Raw genomic sequence first — 13,292 nt, forward strand, 5'->3', positions numbered from 1 at the left:
AGGAAAAGCTGACTGAAGTTGAGTGGGCCAAGACCAGAGAGACTGGGATGTTTGACATCTTGTGATGTCAAAAGTCACTGAGAATGGTGCCAACTGCAGGGGTGGAGAGGAAGACAGTGAGCAAAACTCCTCAAAGAAAAGAGTCTGGGAAGGGGGTCAGTAGATGGCAACTAAACAGGAGATGAAAATGCAGCAAATAAGAAGTTAGGAGACTCAGAAGATCTGGGGCTTTGAAGGAAGAGAAATGGCTTGGGTATGGAAATGAACATTCTACCCTTTAGTTCTAGCCCAAGATAAAGGGAGGGCATGAAGGCTGTAAGGGAGCCATATCCTCAGGGAACAGCCTCGTTTCAGTTGTAAGCAGAAGTACAAGGTACATTCAAGAAGTCGGAGTTACAGGGGAGTTTGCTGATCATGGATCTAGAATTCTATAAGACAAAAGAAGTGCTAAGAGAGGAGAGGAAAGGGTGAGGGATTGGGTAAGATTAGGCACTGTATGAGGGAGAGTCTGAAAAGGGACCGGGAACAAGACCAAGGTGTGAGGGATAGAAATGGAGTCTTGTGAACAGACTGAAATCGGGCCCCTGGGAACTGAGCTAAGACTGAAAAACAGTTTCTTTTGAGGTCTACAAAATAAACCTGTTTTACCCCCTATTGCTCTGAAATTGATACTGGCTTTCTTTTAAGGAATGAAAGGGGTGCTAGGAAGGGTAAAAGAGAAGAGATGCTGCAGAGAACAAAAAAAATTCTTTCAGTTATTTGCAAAATATAGGGTTTTTTTCTGATCAAAATATTAACTGTTTTTTTCTGACAATTTGCAATGGATAGAATCTTTAAGAAGCAAGAAGCAATCCCTTAAAATTCTCCTACTGGAGAATTCTACTGCCAGTACTTTTTTTGCAAACCTATTTGTTGCCTCTGCCAACACACATTTTAATCTTCATTGAGCTTATATAGATGTGGAGAATCACCATGGAGAGAAGGAAAGCTGAGAAAGCAAAAGCTCACATTCTATGGCTCTGATTGTCTCAAAAAGAAGAGGAAGTGATATTAACAGCAGAGAGTGGCTGGAGTAGGGAAGCTTGGAAGTGTTAAGGAGAGTAGGAAATGTCCAGGTGGCTGCTATGGTGATATCTACAGGAAATCAACATGGGAGGATGAATAGTTACTGAGCACGTCAATAACAGAATTCTGCTGATTTCCCCGCGAGATTCAAAAAGTGGGCATTCTACCAACTCCACCAATACTAGAAAAAAGGTCATTAGAGTGCATCACTTATTTAACATAATCCACAGCAATTTTTAAAAGATCACATCAGCCAAACTGAGTTTCAAATTCTCCCCTGTAACTGCTACAGATATCATTGGTAGATACCATAGGATGATTCTCCTTTTCTTTCCAGCTAATGACTTAAGAAATGAAAAAGAAAGAAAAAAACAAAAGAAAAAACCTTTAATTTAGATCTTGACAAATATATAAAAATGAGAAAATAACTTTTAAGGTAGTGGTGGTCAACATATTTTGTCAGATGCCACATGCTTAGGTGAGAGGAGGCTTGATTTCCTAAGAAAAGCAGTCACTCTGTGTTCACCCTGAATTAGATAATTGAGGCTTATGTAAAAGTGTTTGTGTTTCTAAGTCTTTCAAAAACATTCTGAAATAATTCTAAAAGAATTCCTTAAAATTATTTTCCTAAAGAAAACTTCCACATTTTAAGACATTTGTGTACTCTTAAAAAAGTTTTTTTTTAACTTATTTTCTCCCTTTCTTGTTTGTACAACTCTCAATAAGTGTGCTGCTAAGAATCTTAATCTCCAAGGTCGTAATTTTTTCTCTTTCTTTCTCTTGACAGCACCAAGGCAGGAGGTGGCATCAGGTTCATGAAACTGTGGACCCAGAGAGTAGAGAGGTGGACAGCACCAAGCCAGGAGGGCAGCCGGGTGTGAGCCTTGGACGAGCAGGAGCAGAAGCGAGGAAATCAAGATCTCACACCAGGGCTCCGACATCAGGGGGTCTGAGGCCCCTGACTAGAGGTAGAGGCTGGGGAGAATCTGTAGGCAGGGACAGGACCAGGCAGCTGCAGATAGAGAAGGGGGCACTCACAATGTCAAAGAAACTTTATCTTTGGAAAAAACTCTCTGTCTGCCCCTGCTTCTGGTCTTTCTGAGGCTATGGTAGCTATGGGCTAAATAAGCAACACCAGACAGGTGACTAGGGTGAGGGCATTTCCCTCAGAGGCAACCTGAGAAAGAAATGCATATTAAATCCATGAATCTTGTACCCCTGAAGTTTTGAATTTGAGATAAAAATTCTCCTGGGTTTGTCCTTACTGAATAGATAAGGGTTCCCAGTGTATAGGTTTTTAATTGTTTTTGTTGTTGTTGTTGTTAACCAGGCAATTAGGTTCTTATCCATTATAAAGAGGACAACCTCAAAATAGATCTTCTGCCCATAGGGTCTTATGTCCTTCAAGAACCAAGTTTCAACTCTTGAGTTTCTGGAAATTTCCCTGCTTTTTCAGGTTTCTGTGTATTTATAGCCAACAGTCAAATCTAGGAATAAGAATAGCTACCTTTAGAGCAGTGTCCTATGTAGAGTAGGTACTCAATAAATTATCAATTGGATTAATTTATAAATGATTGTCATTATTAGCATGAAGAAGCATATATTACATGCCAGATGACATTTTATATTCCTTATTTCATTATATCTTCATAATAGTTAGAGATTTCTTTTTATCCCCACTTTATAGAAAAGGAAACTGAATCACAGAAAGGTCGTACTGCCTCTTTCAGGATATACCAATTATGTGTGCTAGTAAGTAGTGGAGCCAGGATTTGCACTCACGTAGTCTGGACCAGACCACACTCTCAGTCACTATGGTTCTAAGTCCAGTATGGTAAGAACCTAAGGTGAAGTTAGGAGAAACCAAACAGGTATATAGAATCTGGGAGGTTTTAAAGTTACATTGTAAGGATCCTTTTACATTTTTTATTATTAAAAATGTCAAACAAATTAAAATAGAATAGTATAACAAACATTTGTGTGCCATCACTTAGCTCCAAAAATTATCAATCTTGCTTCATCTAAACCTGTAGCTCCCACCAATGCCCCAAATTATTTGAAGCAATTTCCCAATAATATATCATTTCATCTGTAAGTATTGCATATATCTCTAAAATACAGGCTCCATAAACATTTCTCAATATTATTTCAGATGTAAAAGAAAATATAAAATAACCAAATAATGAGACTATTCTGAGTTTTTAAGTGCTTAACTTAAAAAAAGTATCAAAAATTCTCTTAAGGTGGAATGAAATAGAGAGAAAGCTGTTCCCTAATGGATATAGATATTCCTGAAACAGAGAACGTGTAGGTGCCTCTTTTGTTTGAGATGGAGTTTCACTCTTATTGCCCGGACTGGAATGCAATGGCATGATCTCAGCTCACTACAACCTCTGCCTCCTGGATTCAAGCAATTCTCCTGCCTCAGCCTCCCGAGTAGCTGGGATTACAGGTGCCCGCCACCACGCCCAGCTAATTTTTGTATTTTTAGTAGAGACAAGGTTTCACCATGTTGGCCATGCTGGTCTTGAACTCCTGATGTTAGGTGATCCACCCGCCTCGGCCTCCCAAAGTGCTGGAATTACAGGCATGAGCCACCACGCCTGGTCAGGTGCCTCTTTTAACAGCAGATAGAATGTTGAAAGTAGGTGAGGTGTTTTAAGTAAGTAGAGAAGTATAGTATTAGGGTATGCTGTAATTCAAGTTGCGAGGTTTCTCCCCTTTCTCCTTTATTTCCTACTTAACAGTATGTGTCAGATATTGTGTTATTCTTAAATATAATGTGGTGAATAAAACAGACAGTCTCGGTTTGTTCAGAACAGACAGAAATTAAACATATAATTCCCTCAAAATAAAAAGAAACTGTGAAAGAGTGAGAGAGAGAGAGAGAGCACAAGCTACTACAAGAAATAATGATGGCAAAGCCCCATTTAAACTGAAAGAGGAAGGTGCTGGAAGTCCGTACTAAGTGACTGGTACTGTGACCCGAAGAACAACTGGAGTCAGCTAGATGAAGTGTCTGAGTAAGAGGGTTTTGGGCAGAGAAAACAGAAGGTGCAAAGGCCCCACGGCAGGCAAGAACTTGTCAAGCCCAAGGGCCCAAAAGAAAGCTGGTGTGGCTCAGTATAAAGGGGAAGGTGAGTAGGGAAAAGATGAGGTTGGAAAGATAGAACCATGTAGACCAGATTAAAATACCTGGATTTCATGTAAAAGGTCAAGCCATTGAAAGGTGTTAAATCTGGAGAGTGCTTTGGTCTTTTTTTTTTTTTTTTTTTTTTGAGACGGAGTCTCTCTCTGTCGCCCAGGCTGGAGTGCGGTGGCGGGATCTCGGCTCACTGCAAGCTCCGCCTCCCGGGTTCACGCCATTCTCCTGCCTCAGCCTCCCAAGTAGCTGGGACTACAGGCGCCCGCCACTACGCCCGGCTAATTTTTTGTATTTTTAGTAGAGACGGGGTTTCACCGTTTTAGCCGGGATGGTCTCGATCTCCTGACCTCGTGATCCGCCCGCCTCGGCCTCCCAAAGTGCTGGGATTACAGGCGTGAGCCACCGCGCCCGGCCGCTTTGGTCTTTTAAGATACCATAAAGATCACCTTGGTTGCCATATGAAGGCTTCAGTGGATGTCCTTCAGGAGAGGAATTAGGGACACCAGTTAGGAGGGCATTGCTCTCATGCAGGTGACAGAAAGTGTCTGAGGAACGAGGAAGAAAGCTGTAAACTGAAGGTATATTTTGGAGGTAAAATCCATAGGATATAATGATGAATTGTTGAGATGGCTGCTATAGGAGCTCATATTGATATCATCCCATCATCCCAGGGCTTGGGTTTTTCACATAAGAATCCTTTGTAGGCTAGATGTAGTGGCTCATGCCTGTAATCTCGGCACTTTGGGAGGCTGAGGCAGGCGGATCACCTGAGTTAAGGAGTTTGAGACCAGCATGACCAACATGGCAAAACTCCATCTCTACTAAAAATACAAAAATTAGCTGGGTGTGGTTGCACGTGCCTGTAATCCCAGCTACTTGGGAGGCTGAGGCACGAGAATTGCTTGAACCTGGGAGGTGGAGGTTGCAGTGAACCACGATCGCACCACTGCAATCCAGCCTGGGCAACAGAATGACACTCTGTCTCAAAAAAAAAAAATTTTTTTTTTAAAGAGTCCTTTCTAATATTGATGTCTCCTTGACAAGCATCTGGAGAGTCTCCCTGAAGAGGCCATCATGGAGCTGAACCTGTTGACTGGTATTCCCATTGTTTAAGTATTGGACAAGATCTGGAAGCCCATTAAGCCCATGCAGTTCTTGGGGGATTAACTTCCATAGATAAAGCTAAGGAAGCCATGGCTGCCAGGGCTAGGCCAAGAAGTGAAGGCCAACAGGCAGGCTACTATCCCCAGGAACACCCTCCCTGCCCAGCCCATTGCAGGTACCACACTGAACACAACTGCAGGCATCTCAAGTTGTAGCTGCAGATGGGGACTGGTGCCTCCCATTTTTATTTTAGCCATTTTGTCTCCTGCACCTACTTCCTTCATACAGTCTAGTCAGAATGACACCTCTGGGGCCTGGGTTCTCAGTCCAAGCTGAGGGAAGGCTCCTCTTTTTCAAGGTAATATTGAGGTAGTAACTCGGGTTTTTGCTAGTGCTTTGTTTACTAAGAACCTGCTTAAGTAGGGGTTAGGGAGGGAACCATGCTGAGGCATGACCAATGAGGAGAAGCAAGAAAGCCTATTGCCCCCCAGTCTTGTGCTCTCCTGTAGCCAGGCCACTGCCTTAGGGGGCTTTAGTCACTCCAGTGAAAGATAAATGTAACCTGCCTGATGATGTAAAAAAATAACTATTTCTTTCCTTCCTGACTCTAGAGGAGCTGGCTCCAGAAGGTTGAGGGCAATCCTAAATTAAGATTATATGCTATATTTACACTGTCTCTCTCTCTCTCTCTCTCTCTCTATATATATATATGTATATAAATAATGATACATATATATGTGTGTGTATATATATATAAAATGATGCATGTATATACATGTATATATATAATGATACAAAACAAAAGCCCTTCTGGGGTTTCTAGTGGTAGTTGAAACAGTCCCACACGAAATCATTAGAAAGTATTAGAAATAGTCCCACACCAATATGGGATAAGCTCCTTGACTTCTAAGGGGTAAGAATGCATCCTGCTGTGTGTTTTAGAATATCTTCCCCACCTTGTTTTGTGGCAGAGTAATGCCCCTTGATCATGTCCAAGTGTGTTTTTCACTGTCTTATTTCTGAATCATGTTTTAATTGCTTAGCCCTGCCACATGGGCCCAATGTTCATTTTTAGTATAATATACTAAATGATTTTTCCATATCAGTATAATAAAGGAGTGATGTGCAATTAAGAAAACATTGATGGCCCCATCACTTGTCTGGTCTCGTATCATACCTATAATAATTGGCAATGTTAATTGAGTATTTACTATGTGCCAAGTTCTGTACTAAGTGCTTGACTTTGATGTTTTATTTATTTATTTATGAAGTGGAGTCTCATTCTGTTGCCCAGGCTGGAGTGCAGTGGCACAATCTTGGTTCACTGCAACCTCTGCCTCCTGGGTTCAAGCGATTCTCCTGCCTCAGCCTCCTGAGTAGCTGGGATTACAGGCGCCCGCCACCATGCCTGGCTAATTGTTTTTGTTTTTTGTTTTTTGTTTTAGTAGAGACAGGGTTTTACCATGTTGGTCAGGCTGGTCTTGAATCCCTGACCTCAGGTGATCTGCCCATCTCGGCCTCCTAAATTGCTAGGATTACAGGTGTGAGCCACCACACCTGGCCAGATGTCTTATTTAATCATTCCTCTAACTCTGTGGAGTATGCATGAATTTTAGAGATTAGGCAATGGAAACTTACAGAGGTTAAGTGACTTGTCCAGTCACATGTTAATAAATAACAGTTCTGGGACTCAATCTCCTCTGTCTTCAAAGCCTGTGCTCTTAAGTACAATATGACATTGCCTCAGTATATCTGAAGTCATGATGAGATAGTAGACTGCTTCCAGAAAGGTCTCCAATGATCCCTGCCTCCTAATATTCACTCTCTCACGTAATCCCCTCCCTGTGACTAGCTTTTAATAAACAGAATGTGGCAATGGTGATGGGATGCCACTCTAAGATTAGATGATAAAAGACTGTGACTTCCATCTTAGCAGCACTCTGACTTGCCTTATTGCTCACTTGCTCTTATAAAGCAAACTGCTATGCTGTGAGCTGCCCTATGGAGAGGCCCATAATGCAAGGAACTGAGGGTGGCCTCCAGCCAAAAGCCCAGGTAGAAATGAATACTGCTAACAGCCACATGTGTGCACATGGAAGTGGATCCTTCCTCCCCTGAGCCTTGAGATTTCTGCCGATCAGCTGACACTTCGATTGCAGCCTGTGAGACTCTGAGCAGAGGACCTAGTTAAGCCATGGCCAGATTCCTACTTTACAAAAACTGTTGTTTCAAGCTACCAAGTTTGGGGGGTAACGTGTTACACAGCAATAGATAACTAATACAAATGATAATGTCAATATTAATAATATTAACAACTGTCCTAGTATCTTGCATTTATGTAGTGTTTCAAACTTTTCCAAAGAAAAATCAAGTTTCAGAATAATGAAATTAGAAAAATATATTTCTAGTATCTTCCCCTAAAACACAGCAGCTGCACTTGAAAGAACCACCTGTATTTTCAACAAGAAAAATTGGTATTTATTCACCTGTTTTCATTACCTTAAATCCCATCTCTAAAACCATTTGAAATATGGTATCTAGCAAGGGACCCTTTTTCTTCTTTGTACTAAGCTATTAGCAAAGAGATATGTTTAAGCATCTGGCCTGGGTGTTCTTTAGGACCTCACATTTGTAGCAGCCAGTTGGACTTCTTAGCCTGTGCTGGGGTTTCCTAATCCCTGTATCAATTCCTGCTCCAAGAGAGGGACATGGATTTTAAGCTGTCAATCAATATTTTTGCCAGTTGAGATGAAATATAAGGGGTGAAAGAAAAAAGCTAACATAAGACCAGAGCTCAAATTGGGCAAGACTACAAAGAATTTTTCCAGAAAGTTTTCCCAGAAGGAGCTAATTATTGTGGGAGAAAGTAATCTTCATGTTTGGCTTGAATAACCACAGAAACAACAAAATGCAAATATTTAAAAAATAATGGGAAAATAGAAGAAAAATTTTGATTATACTCTCGGTGGGCTTACTTTAAAAACAAAAAACCACTGAGTGTATGTGTAAATATGTATATACCTACACATACACATTAGCAGAAAGGGAAACATGGGAAATTCACTAAAAACGTACTTATTTTGCACATAGTTATAGAGCAAGGAAGTCCTGAATGTAATTGTAAAGGTTACACCACAGAATAAGATAAACACAGGCTGGGCGCGGTGGCTGACGCCTGTAATCCCAGCACTTTGGGAGGCCGAGGCGGGCGGATCACGAGGTCAGGAGATCGAGACCATCCTGGCTAACACGGTGAAACCCCGTCTCTACTAAAAATACAAAAAAATTAGCCGGCCGTGGCGGCGTGCGCCTGTAGTCCCAGCTGCTGGGGAGGCTGAGGCAGGAGAATGACGTGAACCTGGAGCCGAGATCGCGCCACTGCACTCCAACCTGGGTGACAGAGCAAGACTCCGTCTCAAAAAAAAAAAAAAAAAAAAAAAAGATAAACACAGTCTCTACCCTGATATAGCCTAAATTTTAGTGGGATAAACAGATAAGTAAAAGCTAACGTAATAAATCAATAAATAACTACAGGTTGTGATCGTGATTGAAAGTAAAAACGAGGAATTGTTTACACAGGACATTCAGAAAAGGCTTGTCTGAGAACGAAAGAAAGTGGGGTCAGCTATGTTAGGAGCTGGGAGAGAGGTTTCCAGATAAAGGGAATAGCAAATACAATGGCCCTAAAATAGAAAGAGTGTAGACTGTTCTAGAACTGTCAAAGGTCAGTGAGCCTGGTGAAGAATGGTATGAAATGAGGAAGTGGTGGTCATAGGCCAGATCATTTAGGGCCTTATAGGCCCTGCAAAGGAGTGGGATTTTACTCTAAATTGAAAGGGAACGTATGTTTTCAAAAGATCACCCTTGTGGCTATGTGAGGAATAGATATAAACAAGCTAAAGTGGATGTCTGAAGCTAAGTAGGAAAAAAAGCCTATTGCGCTATTCCAGGCTAGAGATGAGAGTGGCTTAGAGCAGAGGTTGGCAAAAGACATAAAGAATAACGGACAGATTTTGGTGGTAGAATGAAAAGGACTTAAAGCTGAATTCGATGTGGAGGCTGAAGGATTGGACGAATCAAGGAAACCTCTTGGGTTGAGTGTTTCATATGTGAACATGGTGTCATGTATTGAACTGAGAAACCCTACAAAGATCTGTGTGTTGAGAGATCAGGAGGTTGGTTTTGAACATGCAATCTGAGATGTCTCTGAGAAATTCAAGTAAAGGTGTAATTTAGAAAGTCAGATCTATGAGCTTGAGCTAATATTATATTATATATATATTATGAATATAAAGTCAATCACATTCTGTAGTTAGCCTAAATATATCAATATACACAACATGAAGGATTATGCTTAGTAATGTAATTCTTTGATTTTACAGAGCTGAAATAAACCTCAGATTTTTCAAGTTATTTTTTACTTTTAATTGTCCAAACACAGCACCATTTAATTTTTTTCAGCTTCATGCTTTCTAATTTTTGAATATTTGAATTCTCCATTATAAAAATATTTTTAATATTTTTTAGAATATTAGAAAGCTACAGAAAGGGGGAGAGGTCTAAAATTTATGGAGCACTAACAACAGAACAGGCAGAAATGACATAACATTATTTCACTTAAATTCATAACAATCCTCTAGGATTACCTCCTTTTGGCAGGTGAAGAAGCTGAGGTTCAAAGCATTTAAGTTAACTTGTCCAGTGACATATGATCAGGATTCAAAGCCAAGTTTTCTTTTGGCACTAAAGGCCACATCCCATCTTTACAGAAGATGCAAAGCCCACAGCGTCTCCTTTCGTTTCTCTTTTCATTTCCACATTTTTTCCCCACTGTTCTTACATCTCTTTTACTGTTCAACCCAACTGAATTCAACAAACACTTGGAGCATTCCCCTACATTTGTATGGCTGGTAACTGCATTTCTGCTGAGTTTTGGACATGTTCTGTTCTTCACCTCCACTATTTGATGGCCTTCTGCCATTGTCTCAGCTGCTTAATAACGAGAAATTCCCCGTATCCCTTCTTCTCAAAATGTCATAAATAGCTGCTATTGCCTTGGCAATTTCCTGGACTTCCACATCCAGTGAGGATTGGCTGTTACCTAAACTGTTAATTTTCTCCTGGCTGTAATCCACGGGAAACTATATTCATTAACTCTGAAGCTTGCTTCCTGGAACAAACAACTTGATTTTCTTCCTCTTTGCTTCTTGTTCTTCTGTGTTTTCTTACTATATTTCCCGTTCTTATTTCACTTTTAATTTCATTAGTTTCTTTTTATGTTGTTTTAAAAATAATCTAATGCCCATTTCTAGTCTCAGTTTTTTTCCCTGCATTTCTATTTTTTTGCTAGTTGGAAGTGCACTATTTGAACCAGTTAGTACTTATTTATTCGTTTGTTTAAATAGACTAACAGCCCCAGCACAGGACTTGACCATTCCATATCCGAAAAAATTGGTAGTTGTCGTGGAGAGATATACCTATCTTAGTTAGATACATTAGTCAAAGGAACATCACATGATTTTTTTAAAACAAATTCCTCTGTAGCTATTTCTATGTGCCTGTCACTGTTAGAAGACATGAGCTATTACTTAATCTTCCTATTCACTCTGAGATAGCTACTATTATTATCTTGTTACAGATGAAGAAACCACAGGAACAGAAACTCAGAATAGAAAATCTATATCAATTTTTACACATGAAAATAGAACCTGACCCCTACCACCTGACAGAAGTTTTATATTTGGGGTATTGTATGATGGAAAAAAAAACCCAGAAAATGGGGTCTCTTACTGTGTAAAGAAGTGTAATGCTCCCAGAAGAAGAGAGTTCCACAGGGAGAGAACTGAGTAAGGAGACCTGACTTCCTCTGTGTGCAGGAAAGGCAGCTATGAAGGAAGACTGACCTCTTTGTGAAGGTAGGTATTTTGTTATCAAAAGGTGTCTTTCCTTTTGATAACAAAATAAAAAATTTATGTTAGCTAGAAACTTATCCTTTACTCTGCTAGTGCTCTACTAGAGCAATCTACATTTAGCTGTGTGTGATGTGCTTGTTTAAAGAGACCAAAGGAACATGGTGCCCTCAGGGAAGACGGCATCAGCTTCTTGAGTGGACCGTGGGTCACAGTTCCACGAGGTGATTAGCAGTGCTGTTTGGCAGTCTTAGAGGAGTATTCCAAAGAAATGTAAGACCAAACCTGGCAACCCTTATAGATTGGAGAATGCTTCCCTGAAAGGGGAAAAGAGGAAACTAGGAAACATTTGCATTTCATAATACACATGAATTGTTCGTAACATATAAGCATGATTTCATAGATAATCTTAAAAATAATCCAGTAATAATATGACACCGTGATAGCATTGTAAGTTAAAAAAAAAAAAATCACAAATCCGCTGGTAGCCTAACACCAACGAAACGTGGACAAATAACTTTTTGTTGAGAGTTACTCCTTTATCAGTAGCAACATTGTTGAGCTCTATTTGGAACCACAATGTATACATGAAGTAAAGTCTATTATTTGGAAATTTATAGATCAAATGAAAATAAGCCTACACTATAAGTTTAACCAAAGAATGCAAAATAAACTAGATTAATAATGATGAAGTGAACAGTCCTATATAATTAAAGAGTAAGACTAGTAGTGAAGAAAATTATGACTAACCCAACATAATACTGTTGATACACTGATGATAAAGGGTACTTTCAAAAAGCAGAAAGAATTTCAAGTATCTGCAATGTATAAATAGTGAGCAGTTTGCAAATTTGTTTAAAAGCCAGTAGAATGTTAATTTAGAGTCCCTAGTAAATTCCAAAATAAGTTTAATTTAATTTATGAATACCACATTGTAGTAATTCTTAGTAACTACTTACAAATTATTAACTCTCTTAGAAATGTTTTGGGCAGCATGTAATAGAAAACTCCAGCTGATATTGACCTAAGCCATAAGAATTCTTACTGTTTATGTAACAAAAGCCTGGAGGCATATGATTTGAGGATTAGATCAGCAGCTCCAGATTTTAGGGTACTTGCTTGATGTCTTTGTGATTATCTTGGACATCCCTGCAGCACCAGGCACCACATTCTCGGGCCTCAAAATTTAAAGACAAGAAGCAAGAGTGAGGCCAGAGTGGTGAGAGAGCTCCTCCCACAGGCCTGTTCCTGTTTATCAGGGAGAGAGAAACCTTTCCTAGAAGCCTGCCCATGAGACCTCTCAGGTCACGTTGGCCAGAACTGGGTCCATGGTCATGCAAGCTACAAGGGAGACCAGGAAAGTAAATATATGGGTTTTGTTTTGTTTTGTTGTTTTTTGTTTTGTTTTGTTTTTTTCCAGCTTCTAGAGAGGGAGAGATGAGCAAGGAAGAAGGAAGTTGGAAATGAGTGTTGGGCATCATTAATAAATGTTGGCCATGTTTTCTGTCTTAGTCTATTTGGGCTGCTATAACAAAATACCTTAGACTGGGTAATTTATAAACAATAAAAATGTATTGCTCACAGTTCTGGAGAATGAGAAGTTCAAGATCAAGGTGCCAGCTGATTTGGTGTCTCGTGAGTACCCATTCCTCAGAGGTGGTGCCTTCTATGTGTCCTCACATGGTAGAAGGGGGAAACGAGCTCTCTTAGGCCTCTTTTTTAAGGGCACTAATCCCACTCATGAGGGTGAATCCCTCTTGAAAAATCACCTCCTACAGGCTGCACATTTTAATTTTGTTGCATTGGGGATTAGGTTTCAACAAATGAATTCTCAGGGTATGGAAACATTTAGACCACAGGATTTTCCAAGTTTAGAAGCTCTTTCTCTGAATTTCTTACAACATGAAGCCAAGACTTCTTACATGGCAGGCCTTTCATGGGCCTATTCTCTAGCCTTCTCCCCACCTTCTCCCATAGACAACTGAGGTTCTGACCATTGTAAATGAATTGCAGTTCCTACACGTCAGCATCTGGACCTATACATTTACATCTTGGCTTTTCTATTCGCC

At 40.1% G+C, this 13,292-nt stretch overlaps 1 long non-coding RNA gene across 1 annotated transcript in view, besides 1 other annotated feature; it reads left to right on the forward strand.

The window, feature by feature from the left end:
* The first annotated feature begins 11,085 nt into the window (after positions 1–11,085).
* The window catches only part of LOC105370228 (uncharacterized), a 53,024-nt gene continuing 50,817 nt past the window's right edge, over positions 11,086–13,292 (forward strand). Inside the window, exon 1 of the long non-coding RNA XR_942002.3 lies at positions 11,086–11,229. This is a non-coding gene — a long non-coding RNA (uncharacterized LOC105370228). The remainder of the gene's footprint in view (positions 11,230–13,292) is intronic.
* Positions 12,360–12,429: a silencer, noted in NCBI's record as "silent region_5389". NCBI's record gives its function as "represses an Ori minimal core promoter by ATAC-STARR-seq in GM12878 lymphoblastoid cells {active_cell/tissue: GM12878}" and the evidence as "EXISTENCE:reporter gene assay evidence [ECO:0000049][PMID:35858748]".

Source organism: Homo sapiens, chromosome 13 (assembly GCF_000001405.40).
Source record: "Homo sapiens chromosome 13, GRCh38.p14 Primary Assembly".
NCBI lineage: Eukaryota > Metazoa > Chordata > Mammalia > Primates > Hominidae > Homo > Homo sapiens.